The sequence below is a fragment of the Homo sapiens genome, chromosome 6 (genome assembly GCF_000001405.40).
Source record: "Homo sapiens chromosome 6, GRCh38.p14 Primary Assembly".
Taxonomy (NCBI): Eukaryota; Metazoa; Chordata; class Mammalia; order Primates; family Hominidae; genus Homo; species Homo sapiens.
Genome location: NC_000006.12, coordinates 113,552,025 through 113,576,731, shown reverse-complemented (window position 1 = coordinate 113,576,731; position 24,707 = coordinate 113,552,025). Strand labels below are relative to the sequence as shown.

Sequence of the window (24,707 nt, the reverse complement as noted above, 5' to 3'; positions counted from 1 at the left end):
CATTCTACTGGCTCCAGCCTACACATAGCCTTACATAGCTGCAAGATGGCTGGAAAAATAAAGTCCATAGCTGGCCATTTATCCAGATAAATATGGAACTTCACTTAAAGGAAGAAGGGGGAAATTACTTCTAAGCACCAGCAGTCTGATCCCATAAACAAAGAAAGTAATTAATGGAGATAGAAATGAGTCCTATGTGATATTGTATCAGTTAGCTTTTGCTGTGTAACAAGTCATCCCATACTTAGTTGCTTAAGACAACAATCACACATTGTGATCCTGTGGGTTAACTGAGCAGTTCTTATCTTGATGGGTTAACTGCTGCTGCATGATCTAGGAATTCTCACTAGGATTTCTCATTTTTGATACATATGATTTTTTTCTTCTTATAGGCTAGTCCAGGTGTCCTTTCATAGATATATCAGAGTTTCATAAAGCAGCAAGAATGTAAGTTTCAAATGTATAAGCAATTTTCAGGCCGCTGCTTGCAAACATTTGCTAAAGTGCTGTTGGATAAGGCATGTCTCATGGTCATCTCCAGGTTCAAGAAATGGAAGGATAGGCACCACCTCATGGTGGGAAGGCTGCAGTGTCACATTGCAAAGAGGAGCACACATAAAAAAGGGAGGAATTTGTGGCTGCTTTTGAAATATACCACAACTAAGAAACAATCTATTAACTTTGAGGGTTCAATTTTTAATACAGAAAAGGGAGAGTGTTGATTATCCAGGCTAGTCTGCTAAATGAAATTCAGTCAATAAAGCTTCTATCTATTTATTATGAGATTTGATTCTTGAAGGAAAAATAGCGGCTTACCTTTGCCCCTACTTAAAAATAAGAAAGGATTTCTTGGATAGAAGGACTTCTCTCTAATAAGAATTTTTTAGAAAGCGAAAACCACAACAAAAAGGTTGATAAATTGAAATTGAATACACTGGAATTAAAACTATCTCCTTAGAAGATACAAATAACATAAAAAGCTAACCACAAATTGACTGCTAATGCAGCATGAATAACCAAATAGGTTTGGTACTCAGAATATTTTTTTAAACTTCTGAAAATCAATAAAAAAAGATAAACAACTCAGTGGAAAATTGAAAAAAACTACAGGGTCATTTTATAGAAGAGGAAACTTGAAGGGCAATTGGCATATAAAAAGAATCTCAGCTGTATTTAATATCAAGGAAGTGCCAAGTAGAAATCTCTATCAGACACCATCAGGCTCAAAAGATGGGCAAAAATGAAAAAGCCAGACACTAATGAATGCTGTCCAGTGAGTAGCAAAAGAGAATAACTGTGACTCAGAAATTAATTTCCTGATTGGCTATTATTGCTCTCAGAGTCACCAGTCCAAATTTATGCTTGGCCTCTCATTCCAACTTCAACACGGCAGTGGCCATCTTTCTCCTACCACCCTATAATACTTTAAAAAATTCCTAGGCCAGGCGAGGTGGCTTATGCCTGTAATCCCAGCACTTCGGGAAGCCAAGGCAGGTGGATCACTTGAGGTCAGCAGCTTGAGATCACCCTGGCAAACATGGTGAAATCCCGTCTCTACCAAAAATACAAAAATTAACTGGGCATGGTGGTGAGTGCCTGTAATCCCACCTACTTGGGAGGCTGAGGCAGGAGAATCACTTGAACCTGGGAGGTGGAGGTTGCAGTGAGCTGAGATCACACCACTGCACTCCTGCCTGGGGGACAGAGCAAGACCCCTTTTCAAAATAAAAATTAAAATTAAAAAATAAAATAAAATAAAAATACCTAGACTCTAGGCTCAAGAGAATGTGGTTGCAGAAAGAGAAAGGAATCCAGCTTATTCACTGCCAGTTCTGCCATTGAAGTCATAATTTTTAGTCTTATGACCTACATCATTTTGGTACAATTAACAAAGACCATCTTTTTTCTTCAGTGAGTACCAGCTTCAAAAAGGCAATGACATAGGAACAAAAATGTTAGCATAAGGGAAAAGAGATAGATACATTTGGTGGATAGGAGGAGTTGGAGTGGAACATGAGTAGTGGGGGATGGGCCCTTTCCTTAAAGGTAGCTAAATAACTCTTTCTTGAAGAAGTGAATAAAGGGCCGGTGAGAATTCTTAGAGTATACTGTGATGGGAAGAAGATGCAAAAGAAAACTAAGAAATGAAAACATAGGAAGTGGAAAAATAAGCAAATCCATTCTTAGAAACCAGAATAAGATTGATCAAATGGTTTTTGTTGCCAATTTTTTTTTGAACTTTAGTTGAGTGTAACTCCAGTAATGGGGTGTGCCAACCTTCTGATGGGGTCCATTTTCATGACCTAATGAAACAACATTGCAAATGGAAAGGCAGCTCACAATGTTTGCCAAGGGAAAGGGAAATTCTAGGCACACCAATTTGGATGCCTTTCAAGTTCAATGCATGTGTTTACTTTGAAAGTCCGAACACCGAACAATTAAGAGAACACTCCTCTGATTCGGCCTGCTTATGTCAAATGACTAGTGAAATAAATGATTACATGACTTAAAAATATTAGTTTTCGTTTTTTTTTTTAAACAGGAAGGGGGAACTAAAGAAATCTGGGTTAAAGAATAATTTATTCATCCAGCAAACATTTATTGTCCATTTCCGTAGAGATACTCTGATGGCTTATATGAATACAAAGAGTATTTAAACACATTCCACGATTCCTAGTAGCCTAGCATCTAATGGAGATAAAAAGTAATATAGATTATGTAGTCTAGTGTGAAGATAAAGGACCTCAAGTGGGTAACAAAACAGCAAAAACAAGCAAAAACCACAGGAATGTACTATGGTAAGATCTATCAAATCCGATTAGTAGTTATAAAATAGAAAGGGACTTGAAGATAAATGGACTTGCCAATTATAATGATTGGCAATTGGTTTTAAGAATTAGAACAAAATAGTTGTTAATGGAACTGCTTATGTAACAACTCCGGATAAAAACTGTGTAGAATTCTAAGGTTGAGAGACAATATCTTTCTGGAGCAGGGTAGAGGAAGGAAAGAAGGATCACAGTAAAGTCTATTTTCTCATGCCACCTTATTGAAGTAGGATCCAGAAAACGGAGACAGTTGGAAATGGAGAGAGGAGGAGGAAAGAGTAGCCTATAGCTACCAAGGAAGAGTTTACAATAACTTATCCTTACTGGTATCAGGAATAACAAGGGTAATGATTTCCTGTAAAAACAGCAAAGTCCAAGTATATACATAGATGGAAGGGTCAAGAGAACTGGTAAGCAGAATAAAGTGCAGATAAAAAGTGAGAGTGAGACAGGTAAGGGGCGAACAATAAACATTAGTAGAAATTTTATTTAAATTTGAACTCTAAAGTCAGTGGGCGTGTTGTTTGTTCCGCTAGTGTAATGATTATACCTACTTATGATTAATATGCAAATAAATACCTTTTGTAATTTAACTTTGAAAGTTGAAATTGGGGCTGGGTGCCTGAGCTCAGGAGTTTGAGACCAGCTTGGTTAACACAGTGAGACCCCATCTCTATTAAAAATACAAAAAATTAGCTGGGTGTGGTGGTGGGTGCCTGTAATCCCAGCTACTTGGAAGGCTGAGGCAGGAGGATTGCTTGAACCTGGGAGGCAGAGCTGAGATCACAGAGCTCGTGGGACACTGGCTCAAAAAAAAAAAAAAAAAAAAAAGCAAAAAAAAGCTGGGCACAGCGGCTCACACCTGTAATCCCAGCACTTTGGGAGGCCGAGGTGGGCTGATCACTTGAGGTCAAGAGTTCAAGACCAGGCTGACCAAAATGGTGAAACCTGGTCTCAACTAAAAATACAAAAATTAACCAGTCATGGTGGCACGTACCTGTAATCCCAGCTACTTGGGAGGCTGAGTCAGGAGAATTGCTTAAACCCAGGAGGCAGAGGCTGCAGTGAGCTGAGATCTCGCCACTGCACTCCAGTCTGGGTGACAGAGTGAGACTCCGTTTCAAAAAACAAAAACAAAAGTTGAAACTGGAATGTGGCAGAAAGTACTTCAGGCTAAAAGTTATTCCCATGTAAGGAATTATTATTATATGCCGTTTGTAAAGGGTTTTATTCCCAAAGTGTAGAGCAGAAAAAAAACCAACCAAACAAAAACTGATCTTTTGAAAAGTGAAGAAAACACTTATTCATTCATTTCATACAGATTTATTAAATGCTTGTTAAGTATGTATTGTTTGGGATTAGAAAACCAGTATAATATTATATTATTTTAATTATTTGTAAGTGTTTTCTTTTATTTTTGAGTTGAAGTTTTGCTCTTTTTGCCCAGACTGGAGTGCAGTGGCATGACCTGGGCTGACTGCAACCTCTGCCTCCCAGGTTAAAGCAATTCTCCTGCCTCAGCCTCCTGAGTAGGTGGGATTACAGGCGTGCATCACCACGCCCGGCTAATTTTTATGTTATTAGTAGAGACGAGGTTTCCCTATGTTGGCCAGGCTGGTCTTGAACTCTTAACCTCAGGTGATCTGCCTGCCTCACCTCTCAAAGTGTTGGGATTACAGGCGTCAGCCACTGCGCCCGGCCTGTAAGCATTTTCATCTTTCATTTGTTTTTACTTTGCAGCTAACACTTTCTGTGACGACGAGGATGTACATTTTATTAGTAGCATTATTTAAGACAGGGTTCCCCAGCCCCCTGGCCATGGACTGATAATGGTCAGTGGCCTGTTAGGAACCTGGCCGCACAGCAGGAGTGAGTGGCGGTGGCGAGCATTACCACCTGAGCTCGGCCTCCTGTCAATCAATAGGCTGGCATTAAATTCTTGAGCCCTATTGTGAACTGCACAGGCAAGGGATCTAGGTTGCATGTTCCTATGAGAACCTAATGTCTGATGATCTGAGGTGGAAGTTTCATCCCGAAATTACCCCCATCCCCTGCCCCCATCACTAGCTATGGAAAAACTGTCTTCCACGAAACTAGTCCCTGGTGCCGAAAAGGTTGGAGACCACTGATCTAAGAGATCTGTTTAATTTTCAGTGAAACCCTACCCAATTACATTAGATAAAAATAAAACAAGAACTATAACCTTCCATGTACATGAGGCAATCATGTTACCTCATACTTTTAAACCTTTGGGGCCCCAGAGTGGTAGCAAGTAGACCCTGTTTCTTCTTTTTTTAGCCATTTTCTTTCTTTCTTTTTTAAATTGAGAAAACCCCAGTATAATCAGAGAAACAATGTTTCCAGTTACAATATACTACTCTCCTCAGTTTCCTTTGAAATTAGGGTTGGTTGTATAACCTAGTGTTTATCAGTAAGATGTAAGAAGAAATCTACATATAGCCCATAATAGGGCTATATGTAGCCCATAAAACGGGCTGACTCCTTCATGATGTCTGTTGCCCTTTGTTCATCTCCTGCTTTTTCCCTGGGGACGTGGTCATGATGCAGCAGCCATCTTGTAAGCACAAGGATGTGATGGAACCTGAGCTGTGGCAGAGTGAAGAACAGCTGTATGGATCTGGGATGGGATCCCTCCAGGATGGATCCACATGGAATCCTGATGCCACCGTAATTGTAACCCTTCAATTTCAAGACCTCCTTGTTATGTGGGGAAACTATACCCTTATTTGGCTTGGCTACTGTCATCAGGTTTCTGTTTCATGGAATTTTAGGGAGTCAAGGACAAAACAATAATCTTAGAAGAAGAAAAACTAAGGATTAAAAAAATTGAAAAACATGGGACAAAGTGCAAAAACCGCAGAAAAGTATCTTAACTCTCAAATTCATTTCAACTTCTATGAAGTAGTAAAATAGTTCTATCTAATGTGGTATAGCTCGTGCAATAGGCACAGCATTTCATGATTCTAGATATACATTTTTTCATATTTTTATGTCTGGGTGTTTTACAATTGCTGTTGGCTAGGTGGCAGTCATATTGTGGATGCTATTGTTTGCATAGGTGCATACAAACTTGCAGAAAGAGTGTCAGTGGCTTGGAAAAAAATTATAGACACAATCATAGAGTGAGAAATGCTGCTCTTGATGGCATAAATGATGAAGTTATGTAGAAAAACACAGATATTAACAATTATTCTATATGACATGTTTTAGTAGAGTTGAACTCGAAATATGAGAAAGCTTTGCAAATACATTACCCTATTTATTTTGCTTATTTTCCTTTTTATATATGCATAAGCGATATATAATCCCAAATAAACCTAAATGGGCTCTTTTAATACATATAACATTAAAATTCTAAGAGATAAAAAATGATATCATAATTTAGTTGGCAGCTTCTTAATCTTTCCTAGTGGTATGTAAAATAATGATGTGTTTTACAAGATGTGATATTCCAGATTTGATGAAATACCATAAAGCTCCTTTCTGCCAGGAGTAAATGTCAGCCTTCTTTTTCACAGCATGATGTTGTAATAGAACACAGGCCTTGGGGAAAGAGGCCAAGGAATCTACCCCAAAGTAATGTTTTATGGATTCTGTGCAAAATGCCTGGTAGAGTGCCTGGCAGTTATATTGCCTTAGGGACACATCCTATGAATTGCTCCCATAGGTAGCTATGAACTCTGGTCTGAATCTGCATAGGCAAGCCAGATCATAAACTTGGCAGATACACAAAATATGTATTTGTAGAATAAATTAATTTCTACAAATTCCAATTAGCTTCATATATCGTGCAGGTTTGTTTGGGATTTTAAGTATTTCTTTTAGTAGAATGTTTTAATGTAATTTATTTATACTTTTGCCTTTCAAAACTTTTATATTTCAAATAAATTTCAGGTACTGTGATGACTTCTCTTCTATAAAGGCAGGTTCTTATATACCTATTTTAAAATAGAAGAATCTGAGGTTTCAAGAGATTAAGTAAATTGCCTAAGTCACAGAGCTAATATGTGGTATAATTAGGATTAAAATTCACATTTACCTGTTTCAAAAGTTCATGTTCTTTATAGTATATGTAAATTAAAGTAAGCCCCTCATTCCCTAAATCACTCCCAAAACAAGACACTGGAAACACAGCATAAGTTGCTAACAGAAGCAGCCAACTATCATGGCCAAACTGTGGACGGTTCAACTATAAAAATAGAAATAAAGAACTAACCAGTTTATATCAAGTTGGCATTATTCAGAAAAAAGAAAAATCTATAATGGGATAAAATTTTCTAAATAACAAACTGAGAATAAAGAAGCAGCAATTACAAATGACAAAATATTCTTTCCTAATTTTATCTTTAACATGAAGACAAGGGTAACAATGGTGACTTGATTGCCAAGATGCTTTTTAAAAGAAATAAGACTTTATAAAAGAATTCAGCAGGACAGATCATGTTTTGGACATTTAGGAAATTTCTTCTTAAGAGTCTAATTTCTCATGCACTATCAACTTAAATGTGAAGATGTAAAATCATTGGCCATACCTATACTAGCAACAGAATTGGGTATGACAAAGACTTGTTGACTTGTTTTAATCCGATTGGCTAGAATTTATTAAGGTGATCCCTGCAATTTATGATGTATAATAGTCATAGCTAAATGCCTAAACCTGTCTTTGAAAAGTGGTTTCGTTTGAGACTCACAAACTGATTTTCTACATATGAAAAGTTGTCTAATGAACAAGAAATTCATTCTTAGGGTCTTGACAAAAACATAAGAAATGTTCTCTTTTTTTTTTTTTTTTTTGTGACAGAGTCTCTCTCTGTCGGCTCACTGCAACCTCCACCTCCAGGGTTCAAGCGATTCTCCTGCCTCAGCCTCCCAAAGTGCTGGGATTACAGGCTTGAGCCACTGCACCTGGCCTACTATATATATTTCAACCTAATACATTGTAATGGTTTGTTGGCCAAAGACACAAAATGCAACTTGGGTCTGAAATAAAATATTAAATTGCCTATGAGAAGATCAAAGTTGAATGAAAGTGACTCTGTCAAGGTTCTCAAAGTGGCTCCCTGGGCCAGCAGCATCAGCATCACTTGGAAACTTGTGAGAAATGCAGACTTCGGAGCCTGGCTGCAAACTCACTGAATCAGACATTTTGAGATGTGTCCCCAAAATCTGTGTTTTAATAAGCCACCAGGTGATTTTGATGCAGGCTAACATTTAAGAATCACTGGAGTATGTTTTCTAGCATAAACTATGTATGTCCTCAATACCACTGAAAATGAAATCGAGTTGTATTGGACTTGTATTTACTTTTTGTGCGAGCTGGTACAGAAAACACAACAGCAGCATAATCATTCCATTTTACCCATTTACAACATTTCATTTCACAAGAAATACTAGATATAATAAAGCTATATGAAAAAAATCTATAGCAAGATCATCTTTAATGGAGGAGTTCTAGACCCAGTCCATTCATGGATAGACAAGGATGTTCATTTTCAACCCTGATGACATTATAAGAGCTTCTAGCCAATTAAATAAGGAAAATAGATTTTAAAAAAGTAATAGAGATATAACCTTAAATTCAAGGGCCTCAATAAACTATTAACATAATAAAAAGACAAAGAAACTTGAATAAAAGGAAAGATATATTTAATATTCTGTATACATATTTTAAATTTCCATTACTTAATTTATTAATTCTAACAAATCCAGTCAAAATCCCAGCAGAACTTTTGAGTAACTTAAAAAATTGATTCTAAAATTTATGTAGAAAGATAAAGGCCCATGAATAGTTAAAATGTTTTTTAAAAAGAGCCAAGAGAGACTTACCCAAACAGAAATTAAGACATTTAAAAAACTATTGTTTAAACATGTGGTACCGGCACAGGAACACACGGGTAGATAATAGAATAGAATAGAGTCCAGAGAGTAGAGAAAATAATACATGAGATTGAGATGATAATCACAAATAGCAAGGGACTAGGAGTAGTGGCTCATGCCTGTAATCCCAGCACTTTGGGAGGCTAAGGCAAGAGGATTCTGCTTGAGGCCAAGACTTTGGGATCAGCCTGGACAACATAGCGAGATACCATTTCTATAAAAAAAAAAAATTAAAAAAGCAGCCAGGTGTGGTGGTGCATTCCTCTAGTCCCAGCTACTCAGGAGGCTGAAATGGGAGGATGGCTTGAACCTAGGAGAGCAAGGCTGCAGTGAGCTATGGTCGTGCCACTGCATTCCAGCCTGGGTAGACTGAGTAAGAAACCATCTCGAAAAAAGAAAAAAGGAAGAAAAGAGAAGAAGTTAGCAAGGAAAGAGTGGATTCCTTATTAAGGAATAGATTAATTGGGTCACCATATGAAGAAAAATAAATTGGGAATTCATACATCATAGCATATATAAAAAGAAAAGAAGAAAAAAGAAAAAGAAATCCATTTAAATTAGATTAAAGGGCTAAAGTTGAAAGGCGAAAATCTAAAGCTGTTATGGAAGAAATAGAGAAATTTATCTTTGTGATCTCATGTGGAGGAAGCTCCAACAGAAACCCAAAGCACAAATGAGAAGAAGAAAAATGAATGTGTTTTGCAATATCCAAATATAAACATTCTGTTTAACAAAGGACTACATAACCAAAGTTAATAGGCAGATATAGATTGAAGGAAGGTATTTATAATGTGAAAACTAACAAGAAATTATCTTACATACACATAAATGTATAATTGGTTTTTGGAAAATAAGCAAGAAAGACTGTAAACCAAATAAAATATGGACAAAATACATGAATAATAATTCACAAAAGCTTAGGGTGGGAATCAAATAGTTAACAAGCATATGAGCAGGTGCTTCCTAATATATTTATGCATTTATTTTTTTGAGACAGGGTCTTGCTCTGTTGCCCAGGCTGGAGCACCGAGGTACAATCTCAGCACACTGCAACCTCCGCTTCCCGTGTTCAAGCAATTCTTCCACCTCAGACTCCTGAGTAGCTGGGATTACAGGTGCATGCCACCACGCTCGGCTAATTTTTGTATTTTTAGTAGAGACAGGGTTTCACCATGTTGGCCAGGCTGGTCTCAAACGCCTTACCTCAAGTGATCAGCCTACCTCGGCCTCCTAAAGTGCTGGGATTACAGGTGTAAGCCACCTCACCGACCAATGTTTACTAATTTGAACAGTCATGAGCTACCATTATCAGGCTGGCAAAAGTGAGGTAGCTTCAGAATATCCACTGCTCATAATATCAACTGTTGTTGGAGGTAAGGATGATGCAGTCACTATGGGCAGTAATATGGCAGTATTTAGTAAAATTAAATATTCATGTAACTGTGATCCAACAATCCTCCTCCTGGTGTACACTCCAGAGAATCTCCCCCCCACGTCCACAGGCAGACTTGGTTACCACAGTGCTAGTCCTGTCAGCAAAGGGGAGGAGGCAATTGTATGTGTTTATCACCAGTGGAATATGTAAATATCATGTGTAAATGCAAACCATGAAACCTAGTTGACTAAAGACTCCTGGGGTCTCCCAGAAGACTACCAACAAAGGATAATTATCTTCCTTATCTGGATTCTGAACAAATTAAGAAATAAAAGCAAAAATGAATGGAGATCTAAATATTGCTTTTATTGTTGATAACATAGCATTCGAAGATGTTTAGTGTGGGTGAAAAAGGACCCGAACACTGAAAACCAGAGTAGACAGAATCTCCACCTTGGGCCAGGTGCCCACATGGGGCGCCACATCTAAGCAGGAGAAAAAGTGGACTCTCTGAAAGTCGCCAGGACCCATGAAGAAGAAGGGGAAGACAGAGAAGAGCATGCCCAGCCATTCTTCTCAAATTTACCCATTAATGCAAGTCATGGAGTAAAAAATGGAATAGAACGAGACGCTTCATGGGAAAGTAACATCTGTGTGAGGAAGAATGACAATGGAATAGACCTCAAAGGATAAGAATGGTGAAAAAGTCAGGACTGATACAATCACAGTTCAATCTATGTACATTAAAATAAACACATGTAAAAGACAAATGTAGAATATTTTTCAGGAATATCCATCTAAGGAAATGTATGAAAGGTAGATTTGAAAGGCAGAGATTACATTTTAGGGATGTCTATGTCTATGGGGAATTAATACTAAATGTTTTAAAAAATAAAATGGGAGATTTGCACAGATAAAGGAAGATAGAATGACCTGAGGTGAGGCATATGAACAACTTTCTGGGGTTAAAAAGAAAACATTAAAAACGCAGATATGACATGGCATATTATTATTGCTTGCATTTGTATTTGTATATATAACTATCCCACAAAAATCCAACAGCAACAACAAGAAAAAATAGTTATTGAATGACTGCACGGATGGTCTCGGAGTTCAAAGATGGACAAGATATTGAGCCTTCTCCAGAGCTTAGAGTCTTTTGGCGACAGCTTTCGTTTGTACAGAACGTTTTTAGGTCTTATGAGAGTTCATCATTAATCAGGAGACATAACATCAGTGGGAGAGAAGAGAACACAAACCCGAAATCACGCTGATGTTATGGGCGACCTTTTAACTTCAAGGCTGTGCTTTTCACATCCGGAGTGTGCTCCTTAACCAGTTATCTTCTATTCACATTTCTCACTAGTGATGGAGACACGTTGCTAACTCAGTTCATCTTGTTTCTTTCCCAGAATCTAAAGGGAGAAACACAATCGTTTTCCTATTCTTGTTACATAACTATCTTATGAGAAATCTGCTAGCAAAACGCCCCGGCTCGGCCCTGGATGAGGGGCCAGGCCCAGGAGGCGTGGAAGAAGAGAACTGCCAGCACCGGACGGGGTCCTCCCTGGCTCAAGGAGAGGCAACTCCTGTTTGGACCGTGCGCACAGCGCAGGGCTGCTGAGCGGCACTGACTAGAAGGGACTTGGAAAGAACCGCTCAGCCCCACAGGCGACAGATGGTGTTTCTTCTGCATTTGTGTGGAGGGGGTGGGGGAGTGTTGGTAACAATAAGCAGCAGTAGCCACTTGACAGGCTCCCTGCTGCCAAGAATTTGCATGACGAGCGCTTGCTGCCATCTGGAGAACTTCAGCTCATTGAGGAAGAATCGGTGTTTCAGCTTCCATGCTCTGTGGGCCCCAGTCCATGCTGAGGATATCCTCTCCCAGGGGAAGAAGAGCGCAAAAGGGAAACCAATCAGATGAACCTGGCTTGGGGGAGGTCCAAGTCCACTGCACCATCCCTTAGGCAAAGTCAGGGTGAGCTGGCCATGCTGGCCTAATCCCGAGGACGTGTGGACAGATCTGGCACTTCAGAGTGGATTAGGTCAATGGAGCCCAGCACCTTTTGAACATGAGTCTGTTTACACAGCAGTAGTCGATAGAGGAAATGTGGACCCGAGGAGAAAACTCAAACAAGTACCCTGTTTCCCATGGCCTCCAGAGGAGAGTTCAGTGAGGCAAAAGGCTGACCATACACCCCGGGGATTCCAGGATTCCGTTCACAGACCACAGTGCTGTGCATTACAAACACATGTGTGGGCCATTTAATTAAACACATAACAGGCTTCCAGCTGCTAAGATTTTGTGTGTTTAAAGCAAGATGTATTTTCAAAGTGCAAAAAAAAAAATCACTTAAATCTTAAGTTTTACTTTTAAAGTATTTCCTTCCTTTCTTGTTAACTATCTGGGAAATTTGTTACTTTTTTTCTCGTATATATATGTAAATATATATGTATATATAAATATATGTATATATAAAAATATATATACATGTATATATAAAAATATATATATACATGTAATATATACATGTATATATAAAAATTATATATATACATGTATATATAAAAATATATATATATATATATTTTTTAGCCAGGCTCAGTGGCTGTAATCTCAGCACTTTGGGAGGCTGAGGTGGAGAACTGTTTGAGGCCACGAGTTTCAGACTGGCCTGGGCAACATGGCAAGACATTGTCTCTAAAAATTTTTTTTAAAAAATTAGCTAAGCATGGTGGTGAGCACCTTCAGTACCAGCTACTCGGAGGCTGAGGTGTGAGGATCACTTGAGCCCAGGAGGTTGAGGCTGCAGTGAGCCATGATCACACCACTGCACTCCAGCCTGGGGGACTGAGTGAGACCCTGTCTCAAAAACAAACAAAAGAATTTTTTTTTTTCTAAAATGTCTCTAATTGGTATTTAAATTTTACTGGATCAAATGATATTTTAAATATAACATCAGGAGATTATATCCTATAGTTAAAAACAAGTTACCAGTAGCAGTTAAAAGGTCTGTATTTAATACACATAACCACAAAGCTTGATAAACGCTCTGTCTTGCCAGAATTTCCAGTGTCAAACTGCATGAACAGTGTTCCTCATAGGAGAAAAGACATGTGCTCAAATATATTAATTATGGATTAATCAAATAAGTGAGAGTAAGACCACATTTACTATTGATGCTCTGTGAGATTTTTGAAGGCGGAAACTATTATTAATATATCTATCTTCATTACCCCAGCAGGTAGCACAATTCCTGCCATGGGGTAGGAGTCTGTGTTTGTTTCAGCATTGGGAGTTACAAGGAACAGAATATTGGTAAAGTTAAACCAAAAGAGAGATTTATGGGAAAGTTGCTTCTCTCTCCTATGGACTAAGAGGTGAACAGCCAACACTAGAAAGGAAGTGCCAGTCTCACAAACTGCAGGAATGGGTGGTCTTTAGTCTCCACAACTTGATGATAAATGTGCTGACATTCTGGTGACCTCTGTATCTAAATTTCAAATTCTCTGAAGGTTGATTTTGGTAGGCCTAGGTTGGGTTGGTGTTGGGTGACTGCTCTGACCCATCAGAGAAGGATGAAGGTGGCAGGCACGAGGAATGCAGTGGTGGCTGTAGGAGCCTGACTCTGGCTATCAGAGGCAGTTTTCGAACAGGGGGAAAGGTATGTTCACATGTAATGTGCAAAGAGTAGTGTGCAGTCATTTTCAGAACGTCATGAAGCATCATCAGGTATGAAGCATTCTGGTTGAACTGGATTATTTCGGAGAATGTAAGCTTAATGCTCTGTTTGTCCAAACTTAACATTTAAATTACTTAAAACTTTTAAGTGCATTTCCCTGACTTATTAGGTTGAATTATTGAAGTGATTTAGTGCTTCCATGGTTCAGAATAATAATTATGCACATTAGTTATTATGCAATACTGTAACATAGTGATTCCCTTAAGAACTACTGAAGGTTAAGAGAGGCAGGCCGGGTCTAGGGTGGTAGAGGGAGGCACCTGGGACGAGCCGTTTATGAAGGCAGCCCAGCATGAGAATCACCTGTAGAGTATTTTATTAGCTGCTTCCTCCTGTGTGCCTCCCTTGCTGCACCCTACTCTGGACCCTGATGAGATTACTATTTATCCTTATGCAAAAATGGCTCTATATTATTCACCCTGAAAGTTTGACAGCTCTCCCTTCTCAGGAAACTTTACTACAATCATTCTCACTTCCCCACCCATTCAAACTCTCCTAATCTTGTGTTTGCCACAACCATGGTGTCCTAATTGCTCTTTCCCCCACCCCATCCCCCAATCTAGGGCAATCCTTATTTTAAATATTCCATCATATGTTTCCATTGCCAACACACCACCACACATGTGAATGAAATACTCATAGATATAGGCATGGATATGTGTATCCAAGCAGACTTAATGCATTCAGAAAAGGGTCATTTGAAAAAATACTAAATAAGTGATTTTTTTTTTTTTTTTGAGACAGAGTCTCACTCTGCGACCCAGGCTGGAGTACAATGGCGCAATCTCAGCTCACTGCGATCTCTGCCTCCTGAGTTCAAGCGATTCTCCTGCCTCAGCCTTCCGAGTAGCTGGGATTACGGGTGGACGCCACCACTCTCGGCTAATTTTTGTATTTTTAGTAGAGACAGGGTTTCACTGTGTTGGCCAGGCTGGTCTTGAACTCCTAATCTCGTAATCTGCCCACCTCAGCCTCCCAAAGTGCTGGGATTACAGGCATGAGCCACCGCGCCCAGCCATGAGTGATATTATGTGCAAACACATTGGGATAAACACATTTCCTATCAGAACATGCGTCCTGATATTTAGATTTGAAAATGTGGTTGTTATAACCATAATCTAGGAAGAACTAAAGATTTAAAGGAGAAAGCAGACAACTACACTAGTAAAATTATATACTACATTTTAAGTAAATCTCTAAGACATCACAATTTTTGTTTGAGCCCTTGAGGGTGGTGGCAGTACTGCCCTGAGAAAACAATAGTGCATGACCTCTGCAACAGATTCTAAACTTACTTCTAGTCTCTGTGTGGCCATTGGGGGCCTAATTTTGGGTAACATAGGTGATTTCCAGACAAGGGTGATATGATGGCTATCCTGTAGCAGAACATCATTAATTTAGAGGGGACGCCAGGTCTCAGATTATTTTTCTGGCTCTACTGCAATTTGCTAAATTACCTTGGGCAAGTCACTTAAGGAATCTCTCAGGAACACAGTTTTCAAGTCTATAATGTTAAAGAGTTGGACTAGACAATTTTGAAGGTGCTTTTCAGTTATAATATTTTATATTCTCATTATTATCAAAATAAGTTGACCAATATAAAACTTGGAAAAAATTTCTATTGTTTCTGAAAGCACCTGAGGCAGTCTACACACATCAGACAAAGAAACCACACATTTTTAAGGGGTTTTTTTTTATAACACCCACTTGATACTCATCATAAGAATAAAATGTTGTGCCTTTGTGACTTGTGATTATAGCTCTGAGTCATTCCAGTGGTATGGCATTTGTTTTTGCTGTGTCTATATGATATCTGTCCAACCTTATGAAAATTGAATTTTAAAAAGTTAACCAACAGTTGGTTGCTTCCAAAACACTAGACAATGAGCCAGCTCAGAGGACAGAATTAAAATGTCTGATTTTACAGAGACCTAGTCTTTGTATAAGGAATAAAGTAATATAGACATCTAGTCTGGTTAAGTATGTTTGCTTGCTTTTACCCTATGTAATTATTCTTTCGGGGGAGTATGCTATGGGTTGAAATGTGTTACCCCCTAATAAAGAAGGATATATTGGCATCCTAAGCCCCAGGACTTTAGAATATGACTTTGTTTGGAGATACAGTCTTCGCAGAGGTAATCAAACTAAAATGAGGTCTTCAGGTGGGTCCTAATCCAATAGGATTGGTGTCCTTACAAAAAGATAAAACTTAGATACAGGCATGCATCTAGAGAGTCTGCCATGTAAAGATGAAAGCATAGATAAGATGATGCTTCTTCAAGCAAATGAATGCCAAAGATTGTCAGCAAACCACCAGAAGCCAGGGAAGTGGCATGAAATAGCTTCTTTCCCTTGGCCTCAGAAAGAGTGAACTCTGCTGATACTTTGATCTTGGACTTCTAGGTCTAGAACTGTGAGACAATAAATTTCTGTTGTTTAAGTCACCCAATTTGTGATACCTTGTTGTGGCAGCTCTAGCAGACTAATAGGGGGTTCTTGTTGTAATAGTGTCTAAATAAGGATCCCTTATTAATTTCAGCGCTGGTTTTGGACACATTCACATGCACATACATTCCAAAATTACACTTTTTTTTTGTATCATAGTAAAACAAAAAAGTGTGCTTTAAAGAGGCCCTAAAGAATTAGTACTTTATACATATGCTTACCCGTGGCCTGGAAACCCAATTGCTTTCTGGATCTAATTTTATTAGTGGAATAGTAACTATTAGTACAATTTTCAGAATCATCTTGCTACTCAAATGTACACATAGAATTAGGAATTTATTCTAGCACATTTATGAACCATCACTAGGCATAGATCTTGTGTGACAAAGAGTGGTCCCTCCCTTCATGAAAAAAGTCCATCGTTCTGCCATTAGCAAGTTTTTGGGCTATACGAGCATTTGTATCTTTCTTCCTCTAGGAAATATGTTATTGAGGGATTATCCTTAAAAATTCTTACTATCTTCCTTATAATCTCATGAAAAAGAAAATTGTATAACCTTCCTGGTTTCCTCTTTCAGCATTCCAGAGTCCCCTAAAGGAAGAGAATTGTTCCTAATATCTAAGTAAGGTTATCCTTTTTAGAATTTATGCTTGAACTTATTTGCATTTAGTAAGAAATAAAGAGCCTAATACAGCAACTGCCGCATATTGTATGCTTTCACTTGGAGGTAATGAATATGGAACCAAGGCTATAACATTTTTAGTCCCTTCTACTTGCTTTGCCAGTTTTAAAGTAAGATTATATGCTTATAGAAATGTTGTTTTCCTTTCTGGCTAACTAGGCTGCATTTTTTCTCTCTCTCTTTGATATGCAGGGAGCAAAAGTAGGGCAATTTAAATATATCTTTTGAGCCAGGGAAGCTAGCAAGAAACAATCATAATTTTAAGGAAAAATTAAGAAATGGTGACAGTGTTTAAGTAGAAGATTACATTGTGTTTGGATTCTGTTAATTACTGCTACCCCCACAAGCAGTTGCAAAGGCCTCCTGGACATTATTTCCAATCTATTTATGGATCTTCAGAGGAGAAGTTATGAGAATGTCTTTTTATTATATTCTCTTTAAACTTTCATTTTCAATAGCTCACAGTTAGTTGTCTGGAATGAGGATGTGTATTAGACTAAATATGCAGGGGTCATAATTTTGTGACCCACTTCCTTCTTCATGCCCAAATACATTTGCAAATAACTCTTTCCAGATTCTGTTTGTCTGTTGTGTTAATTTACAATGACATCTTTTCAACTGTCTTGGTTTCAAAGTGTCCTGTCTCTTTAAAGTAGCAATTTCCTATTTGAAGGGATCCATTACCATGCCTACAAGAATGTGGGTAGATTAGAAAAGCTGTTCCACACTAGTCAGTGACTTGTAGAGGAAGCTTAGAACTGAGATGAGCAGACAGAATAAAGATGGGAGAAAATTAGTGCTGAGAACAGGAGGTAGATTGTAAAGAGAAGCTGGGTGTATCTGTCTTGAAAAATGGGCTTCACTGCTGGGGTTTATTTAGGTAGTTTCTTCTTTCTTCAGATTTCAATGGAAGTTTTTATCTTCTTTATTAGAAAATCATAATTGATAATTCCATTTATTTATATTCTCTTCTAAGTAAGAGAGAAATATTTTGATTTTATTCATTGGTTTCCACATAATAGAATTTTATACCTTCCTCTTTGACACCATATGTCCATTTGAGAAATGCAGGGCTTTGTTAGTCCCCTAAAATGAGCTGCATGTGTGCCAGGGGCAGCATGTGACACTCTCCCATCTGGCATACAAGTTGCCACTTGGCTGCCACCTGTGCTGCCACCCAGGACCCTTGCCATTCCCCCCATCCAGTGCTGTAGACCATAGTCCCTGCAGCCTCTTACTGGTTGCTGTCTCTCCTGCAGTGGCAGATGTTGGGGTGGGAAACACTGAGGGCCAAGCATTTGCTATTGCCAGTCTGGCTAGACTCAAACCCTTCTCCACTGACAAAACATAAGAACCTGGATTATGCTTGCCTCTAAGTGTACAATCACTTCTCTTCTTTTCCCTCTCCTTAGCTCTTTCCAGGATGTTTAACGCCCCTTAATTTGACCCTTTGCTCTAACTTGGGGTGTATCTGATTGCACTCACATGCGCACTGTGCTTCCCATTCCCTTTCTTCACTGAAGAGATCTTTTGTGGGCCTTCCCTTGGGTGAGGAGGACTGAATCATGCTTTCTTTAATCAGCTGAGCTCAGGTCTCTTGCTGAAGTGCTCCTGGACCTTGGACGTGCACATCCCAGACCATTACGTTTTGTGGTCTGCGTATGATTAGGGCACTGCTGGAAGTGCTACAGAGACCATCAGAAGAGATTGGAGGTGCCAATACATTGGACCACTTTGACGATAAAAGAGCAACTCTCGAATCATAAACTCATGTTATTTTTAGAGGTGGAAGTAATCTTGGAATCATTCATTTATTTTACAAATGACAGAACTAAAAGTGTTCTGTAGCTTAGTTACACACTGTTTATACATTGATGCCGTTCCTATTAATTGATATTCTATAAAAACATGTCATGAAATTTATTGTTGTAAGTATTTTGGATTTATATTTATTGTTTATACACATACCCTTTCAATCTGGGAAATCTGAGGAACAAAGCATTTCATTTTAATGAGACCATATGGATGCTAAGATTCCTTCTTGGTCACAAGCTTGGGATATTTTACACACTGAGAAAATGTTTTCCTCTCAGTAGTTGAAAGTCAATGGCAATATCTTTAGGGAAAAAAATTACTCAAGGCCATAACTATTCACTCATTCGACATGTACTTATTGAATATTTATTATTATTATTAATTATTTCCTCCTACCACTTCCCAGTGAATATTTATTGAAAAATGCCAGGCGCTAAACCAGGTACTGGGGATACAATGAGGAACAAAACAAATAAAATTCCAGATGTTAAAATCGAGTGGTTTATATTTTGATTTAATGGACTAGTGAATATGGATGGACTTAAGAACATTAACCTATTTCTATTTGTTTTTACTTTTTTCTTTTCTCTGATGTCGCCATCATTACAAAGTGTTTGTTAGGTACCCAAGTGTTTCAGTTAGAATGCATTTGGCTGTGAGTGAAAGAAAAGTCAATTAAATCTAAAGTGGCTTAAATAATAAAGGGAATTTATTGGCTCAGTAACTTGAAAGTCCAGCTGGTGGGTGGGCTTCCAGCATGGTTTAATTAGGGTTCCAGGTCAATTGCTGTATGGCTTTTTCAGCTCTGTCCAATTCTATGCATGTATCATGTTAGTCCCTGCCAGGCTTCTCTCATGGTTGCAAGATAAACACCAGGAGAAAACAGGGTATGATGCTTCTCACTCTTACATAGGAAAGAATAAGAGTATTCCTAGCTTAGGATTCCAAGAAAGACTCTTGAGATTACTGTGCCTGAATTTGATTAGATCATATCTGGACAGCTAACCCAATTATTGTGGCCAAGAGAATGAAATGTGTAATTAGATTTAAACCAATCCACAGCCTAAAATTGGAGATGGAGGTAGGATCAGTTTCCCTCAAAGTAATTTAGCCAAAGGGGCAATAGCAGATACTTGAACCAAATCTTGAGTGTTACTAAAATGTAGAAAGTAGATAATGGATACCAGATAGAAAATCATCAAATATTTGTTGTATAAGTTTTGGGGTAGAACCACATCAGGTTCTATGATCTTGCTGGTTACCACTCGCGGACAGTTGTTAAATGAGTTCAAAATGAATTTACATGAAAAGCAATGTTTGAAGTGATAAAGAAGAGAAAGCATCAGAATCGGATTAAATACTCAACCAAGGAAGCAAAAAAAAAAAAAAAAACCTATAATAAAACAAACCAAAGAAAAGTAGAACAAAGGAGTTAATAAAGCCAAAAGCAAAAATTATTTAGAAAAGAGAATAGACTTTTTCATTTTGTGATCATGTTAGACTATTTACTTTCAAACCCACTCTACACACTGAGAAAGACAAAATAAGCTGAACAACAGCAACAATAACAACAAAATCTGTTTGAAGGCACTGAAGAGCTACCAAAGTAGCAAGGACTTGAGAGTCAAGATCCTGGAAAAGAGAGCACAGAGAGATGAACCCTACCTTTACCATCACTTTTCATCTTAAGTTATTTGCAGGTTAGAAGGATGGGTGAAGGCTGAGAGGCCAAGAAGGTTTGCAGAAAGTTGTGGTTGAGAGGGTAAGGAGTTGAGCAGAGTTTGGGTCGGTCTTATGAAGCTGGGGATGACCCAAACTAGAGTACAGAGCCCACTAAAGAGGCATTGCCCTGGTAAATACCCAGGGCTTTCAGCTGAGACTGAAAAAAGTTATCTTAGGAGTGTGGGCTAATTATCCAGCTCTCAAAAGAAAAAAAAAAAAGAAACAAATCCCAGTTTTGAGTCAGCTCAATCAACTTTAATAAAATGGATCAAAAAGATATACCTTTGGCTTACTTCATTGCCAGAGAAAAGTTGATCCTCTGTGGAAGAGACAAAACCATCGAGAACTTCAAATTATTTTTTAATATATAATGTCCCACATTACATTAAAAATTAGTCTGTCATTTTGACAAAAACTAAGAGAAAAAAATTTGAAACAGGCAAATAAAATCAAACACATAGGAAATCCAGATATTGGAGTTATCAGGCATGGATATTAAAATATCTGTGGTTAATTTAGTAAAAGATGGATAATTTCAGCAGAGAACCAGAAAATATAACTATATTAAAAGGAAATTTTATAACTAAAAAATGTAATAATTACAAGTAAGAACTGAATAGATTGATTTTACTAAAACAGAATTCATGAACTGGAAGATAGGTAATAAGAAAATATTCAGATATCCAGACCAATGTATCAAGAGGCAAAAAGACAAAATACATAAACAACCATCAGAGACCAATGTGTTACGGTGACAAGGTTTCAGATATGTGCACCTGGAGTCTCAAAAATAAAAAATAAAAATAAATAAAATAAAAGAATGTGGCAGAAGCAATGAAGAGGTAATGTCCTAGGATTCTCCAGAAGAGATAATGTTCTAGGATTCTCCAGAAAACAGGTGGCAATAGAAGAAAGACCCAAGCACAATTTTTTAGAACAAAACAAAGCAAACAGTAATAACACCAAAAAAGTGACAAACCTTTAGCTAATCTAATCAAGAAAGGAAGGAAAAAACACAAAATAAAAATGTGAAAATAAACATAACTATAGATACAAGGGAGATTAAAATTATGTTTATATTTCTGCATTCCAAACTTTTAATGCAGTAAATAAATGTCTAGAAAAATATAATTTAATGACATTGACTTAAGAAAAAATATAAGTAGTCCAATAATTATTTAAAAAAAAATCCACTAAAAGTTGTTGATAAATCAGCTCCAGAAAAGCATGGCTTGATACTTTCATGGATGAGTTTCTATAAACCTTCAAGGAATAATTGATTCTCACAATGTATAATATTTCAGAGCAGGGGAAAAATGTGTAAAAATTTCTAATTCACTTTCAAAGTTAATGATGTTAACCAAATGAAAATCTGCCCCCAAATGGCATAGAAATCTATAATAGGTTCTCATTTATAAATAGAGATATCAAAAGTTTTGAAACCTCTCTCTGATACTGTATTCAGAGATGTCTGGGCCAGGTGCAGTGGCTCACGCCTGTAATCCCAGCAATTTGGGAGGCTGAGCCAGATAGATCACCTGAGGTCAGGAGTTTGAGACCAGCCTGGCCAAAATGGTGAAACCCTGTCTCTACTAAAAATACAAAAATTAGCTGGACATGGTGGCAGGCGCCTGTAATCCCAGCTACTTGGGAGGCTGAGGCTGGAGAATCACTTGAATCTGGGAGACAGAGGTTGCCACGAGCCGAGATCACGCCACTGCACTCCTGCCTGGGCAGTATGAGCCGAGATCACGCCACTGCACTCCTGCCTGGGCAGTAAGAGCAGAGAGAGCTCATGCTCAAATAAATTAAAAAAAAAATGTCTAGCATATTTCAGCAATACAAGGAAGGTTTAATATTAGAAATACTATCAATACATTTTTATCACTTCTATAGATAAAAAGAGAAAAAAATGTATAGTATTCTCTACTCAGTGGTTGTCAATTGTTTTTGTTTTCTCAGTTGAACTTTATTACCCTAGGAGATAACACATTTTATTAGAAAATTGGCTTACACAATCAGTGATTCTAAAATAGGGGCAATCCACATCACCCCTCCAACCTTCAGAAAGGAAGAGAGAGTGGGATTCAGCAGATTCTCATGTATATGAGAATATAGTCTAGTTTGGGAAAGCTCTGCAGTTGATTGGCTAAAACCACCAATGGAGAATTTTCCTTCTTTTTCCTCAATAAGATCACTGAAATAGAAAGTTCCATTTTTTTTTAAAATAAAGTTAAAACATTCATGTTTAATTTAAGAACAAACAAAAAGAGCAACCACCACAAAGTCTTAAAAAAATTATGGAAGAATATTTCTGTAACTTGATGAGTAAGTCTATCAAGCCAGTGTCCAATGAATATGCAGTATCTCTTATTACTATTTAACATTATTTGGGACATAATGACCCACACAGTAAGGCAAGACAAAAAAGCAGCTATAAATATTGGAATTATCATGATTTTTATATAAAATCCCCAAAATCTCAATAAATTCAACTGACAGTCTATTCAAAATGAAAAGAGTTTAGTGGCCTGGAAGAAAATAATATATGCAGGCCAGGTGCGGTGGCTCATGCCTGTAATCCCAACAATTTGGGAGGCTGAGGCGGGTGGATCACTTGAGGTCAGGAGTTCAAAACCAGCCTGGCCAACATGGTGAAAACCTATCTTTACTAAAAATACAAAAATTAGCTGGGTGTGGTGGCAGGTACCTGTAATCCCAGCTACTTAGGAGGTTGAGTCAGAAGAATCACTTGAACCTGGGAGACGGAAGTTGCAGTGAGCCAAGATTGCACCACTGCACTCCAGCCTGGGTGACAGAGCGAGACTCCAACAAAAAAATAAAAATAAATAAATAAATGAAAATAATGTATGTATAAGTAATTAATTTTCCTATGTATCAGCCACAGCCAGTTCCATGTTATGATATAGGGTGACCGCCCATCCCAGTTTCAGTATTAAGAGTCCTGTGTCCCGGGAAGTCTCACAGTTTTGGGTAAAGTGGGAAGATTAGTCACCCCAAAATGGGAAATAACAAACTTAGCAAGTATATTTGTTAAAGCTGTAGAGGAACTTAGCGGGGAAAACCATACAATTTTACTGAGCACTATAAACACAAACTAATGGAACTTTCTATTAATAGCATGACCTTAGATGAAAAAAATTAACATTGCAAATACATAAATTTTCCTAAATTTATTTTTTAAATTTGGAGACAAAGTCTTCCTCTGTTGCCCGGGCTGGAGTGCAGAGATATGATCACGACTCACTGTGGCCTCAAACTCCTTGACTTGAGCAATCCTCCAGCTTCAGCCTCCCAAGTAGCTGGGACTACAGGCACATGCCATCATGCCCAGCTAATTTCATTTTGTTTTGTAGAGATGAGATCTTGCTATGTTGCCCAGGCTGGTCTTGAACTCCTCGGCTCAAGCAATCCTCCTGCGTTGGCCTCCTACAGGGCTGGGATTATAGGCATAAGCCACTTTGCCTAGCCAATTTTTCTAAATTAATTTACAATTTTAATGGAACTCTAATAAAAATCCAGCAAATTTTTAAAAACTTCTGCAAAATGACTAAAATGTTTATGTGAAAAAAATCCAAATAACTTACATAATACAATTATGAAACAGATAATGAAGGGAGGGACATTTAGATTATTGACTATGAAAATATGTTAAACAGTGAAAATAATTCCAATTGTTGTGTATGTGCAAAAAATAGAAAATTCAAAGGAGTAGAAATCCTACAGAGTAAAAGATGAAGAAACAGGAACAGGCTTAAGTATATGTAAGTACTTAGCATAAAAATAAGATTGCTTTTTTTTTTTTTTTGAGACAGGGTCTCACTCTGTTACCCAGACTGGAATGCGGTGGTATGATCATGGCTCACTGCAGCTTCAACCTCCTGGGCTCAAGCAATCTCTCACCTCAGCCTCCCAAGTACCTGGGACCACAGTTGTGCACCACCACACCCAGCTAACTTTAAAAAAATATTTTTTAATTTTTGTAGAGATGGGGTTTCACTATGTTGCCTAGGCTGGTCATGGCCTCCTAGGCTCAAGCAATCCTCCCACCTTGCCCTCCCAAAGTGCTGGGATTATAGGTGTTAGCCACTGCATCCAGACTAAGACTGCATTTCAATTTAGGAGAAAAAAAATCAATGAGTTAAAAATGATGCTGGACCAATTTGTTACAATTTGG

The 24,707-nt window shown here is 38.0% G+C and overlaps 1 long non-coding RNA gene across 1 annotated transcript in view, besides 2 other annotated features; it reads left to right on the top strand.

Annotated features, from left to right (window-relative positions):
- The window catches only part of LOC124901379 (uncharacterized), a 68,150-nt gene that overhangs the window by 10,688 nt on the left and 32,755 nt on the right, over positions 1-24,707 (top strand). The gene's annotated exons all lie outside the window — the stretch shown is intronic.
- Positions 11,124-11,887: an enhancer, noted in NCBI's record as "OCT4-NANOG-H3K27ac-H3K4me1 hESC enhancer chr6:113886047-113886810 (GRCh37/hg19 assembly coordinates)". NCBI's record gives its function as "activates a minimal SCP1, AML or CMV promoter by ChIP-STARR-seq in primed H9 embryonic stem cells {active_cell/tissue: H9 hESC(primed)}" and the evidence as "EXISTENCE:reporter gene assay evidence [ECO:0000049][PMID:30033119]".
- Positions 11,888-12,652: an enhancer, noted in NCBI's record as "OCT4-NANOG-H3K27ac-H3K4me1 hESC enhancer chr6:113885282-113886046 (GRCh37/hg19 assembly coordinates)". NCBI's record gives its function as "activates a minimal SCP1, AML or CMV promoter by ChIP-STARR-seq in primed H9 embryonic stem cells {active_cell/tissue: H9 hESC(primed)}" and the evidence as "EXISTENCE:reporter gene assay evidence [ECO:0000049][PMID:30033119]".